This window comes from Homo sapiens, chromosome 1 (assembly GCF_000001405.40).
Source record: "Homo sapiens chromosome 1, GRCh38.p14 Primary Assembly".
Taxonomy (NCBI): Eukaryota; Metazoa; Chordata; class Mammalia; order Primates; family Hominidae; genus Homo; species Homo sapiens.
The window spans coordinates 120,139,818-120,143,015 of NC_000001.11; positions in this window are offsets into that span (position 1 = coordinate 120,139,818).

A 3,198-nucleotide genomic window follows, 5' to 3' on the forward strand; every position below is an offset into this window, starting at 1 on the left:
CTCAGCCTCCTGAGTAGCTGGGATTACAGGCATGTGCCACCATACCCGGCTAATTTTTGTATTTTTAGCAGAAACAGGGTTCCACCATGTTGGCCAAGTTGGTCTCAGACTCCTGACCTTAGGTGATCCATCCTCCTCGGCCTCCCAAAGTGCTGGGATTACAGGTGTGAGGCACTGAGCCCGGCCTGACTTTTTAATAATAGCCATTCTGATTGGTGTGAGATGGTATCTCACCGTGGTTTTGATTTGCATTTCTCTAATGATTAGTGATGTTGAGTATTTTTCCACGTTTGTTGTCTGTTTGTATGACTTCTTTTGAAAAGTATCTGTTCATGTCCTTTTCCAACTCTTTAAATGTATTCTATTTATTTATTTATTTATTTATTTATTTTTGAGACGGAGTCTTACTTTGTCACCCAGGCTGGAACGCAGTGGCACCATCTCGGCTCACTATAGTCTCCACCTTCCGAGTTCAAGCGATTCTCCTGCCTCAACCTCCCGAGTATCTGGGATTACAAGTGTGCACCACCACACCTGGCTAATTTTTGTATTTTTAGTAGGGGAGGTTTCACCATCTTGGCCAGGCTGGTCTTGAACTCTGGACCTCAAGTAGTCTGCCTGCCTTAGCCTTCCACAGTGCTTGGATTACAGGTGTGAGCCACTGCACCTGGCCTGCCCACTTGTTAATGGGGTTATTTTTTGCTTGTTGAATTGTTTAAGTTCCTTATAGATTCTAAATAGACCTTTATCAGATGCACAGTTTGTGAATATTTCTAAAATTTTCTCCAAACATTAGATCTTTTTAGAGACATGTTGGATTTGACATGTGTCCATGTTTTAAGTAAGATTTTTAAAATAAGAATACAGGGCAAGTTGAAATAAATGGTAACTCATTGCATCTAGTAAGTCACACACATACACACACCATCCTCCAAAAGCTCAAAGCATGTCAAGATACAAATCACACCAGTGTTAGCCTCTTATTTATGTGTCTTAGCCCTGCCTACTCAAGAGCCTGTCTCCTCTTGACAGCTCTGTCATATAGGGTAGAAAATATAGAACAGCTGTGACCAGGGCTTACTCATCTGTACAGTCACTAGATGATAATAGTTATAAAAATTAACATGTGTAAAGGGCTTTGTGGCATATAAGCCACTACTGGGCATATGATTTTAATTCAATTTTAATCTTTATAGAAACTCCTCTCCTCTCCTCCTCACCTTGGATGGGGGTATCAAAGCTTAGGAATGAAGTGACTTGTTAAGATCTCTCACTATGCTTTTTCCTCAAGTACATAAACATTCCTGAACCTCTCTCAATTAAAAAAATGGAATTCATTCCTTATTACACATGCTTTCTAGCCAATCTTTCTTCTTTCATAACTAAGTGTTTTAGAGTAGCTTACACTCTCTGCCTCCCCCTCTTTGCATTCATATCGCTATTTTTTCCTTGTCTAAGGAATGTAATGTACTACATCAGGTCACATGCTGAAAGATTGCACCTGGGGAATGCAGTCACCCACCTACCGCAGTTTGGCTCATGTATAGATATTAAACACAACTTGAGGAATATCCTTGACTACTGAAGAAAGTAGGCAAACTCTGGGCAGGCACTCAGACTTGGGAAGCTTGCGGCATTCCTCTGAGGTCTAAGGAGCTTCCCATTCTATGGCTATCCTCCCTGTCCTTTCCTTTCTGAAGGAAAGGAAGGAAGGAAAGAAGGAAGGGAGGGAGGGAGGAAGGGAAGAAAGGAAGAATAGTTTCAAAACAAAGTTGTCTGACTACAAATTCTGTTCTGTTATTAGATCCTTTCCAATTCACTGTTGTTGTGGTTGTTAAAATAAAGCACAAATTTTTACCACTTGTAGTAGAGAGGCCTTGTGAGAGACAGTTCCTCTACTCCAGAATTGTCACCCCTGTCTCCTATCAAAATGCCTCAGATTCTTCCATTTAAACTTTGGTAATGATGTCAATCTTGGAAGACTTTCTGGGTTGAGCAGATTAAAGAAGCTGAACATGATAGAAGGGAGAAGAAAGCTGCAAGGAACAGGGACTGGCCTGATGGCCTGCTTCATCTATTGCCCAAGCTCCCCACAGCCAGCTCTGGTCCCTTGTAGGATAGAAAGTACAACACAAAGAGGTGACTGAATAACTTAATGGTCTTGGATACACAGTCAGTCCTCTGCTCTCCCATCTGAACTAACAATATTTCCTGTTCTGTTATCTGAAGTGTGAGGTTGGCACTCTATGATGACACAAGTGCCCACTTCCAGCCAAGCCAAGCAACCTTTCCTCCAGACTGAGTCAGTCACCTCCATTCTTTGTGTTCTGACCTTCCAGCTGCAAAAGTAGGGCCCAGATCTCACCTTCTTAGATTCTGAGGTAGTGAACCTGAACAGGTGAATTATAGAGCCACTGTGAAGCTCTAGATTTCCAAGGAGTTCTCCACCTTACCAGTGTTTAAAATCTGTACTTAGTTCCTATATATTTTTCCACACTTTTCATTCCCTTTCCTATAATTCCTTAATATCTCCTTTGATAGCAAAAGGGACAAATGTAAACAGGTTAGGCCATGAGCAAAATCAAGTAGGTAACATATGTCTTTGCTGCTCCATCTCCTTCCTTTCTCCTCCCTCCATTGAAGTCAGGAATCTAAAAATAGTCATCATACCTTAGTGTATATTTAAAGTTCTCTTAACTGTATCTCACAAGGGCTTTATTTTTAGTTACAAAATTTTTATAAGTTGTTTTGGCCACTACTAGAAGCAGCCTTTCAGGGAGGTAGCAAAGGCATTTTTAGGGAACATTTTTAGGAGTCTTCATCTGGGAATCACCCCAAGCAGGGAGCTCCTCAGAAACATTCTCATGCCCCGGACCTTCGTGCTCGCCACGCTTGACTGTGTAGGGAGTTTGAGATAAAATGGTCTACAGTCATTCATTTCGGGTACCTTCCTCTGGACTCTACATTTCTGGTCACTTTTCTGTCATCACCCAGCTTCTTAGGTCAGTACCCGGTGATACTCATGGTGATCCGGGAAGGCTGGACCAGGGAAGTGGAGGACAGGCTGTGCTGATGGTTTATTAAAGTCTGTGGCTTCTTACTCCTCCACAAGACTCCTCATCAGAGGGTGCGGCTTGGGTCATGCTGGGCACTCAGCAGCTTTGTGGTGGGTATCGGTTTGCGCTTCCTCCCCTTTGC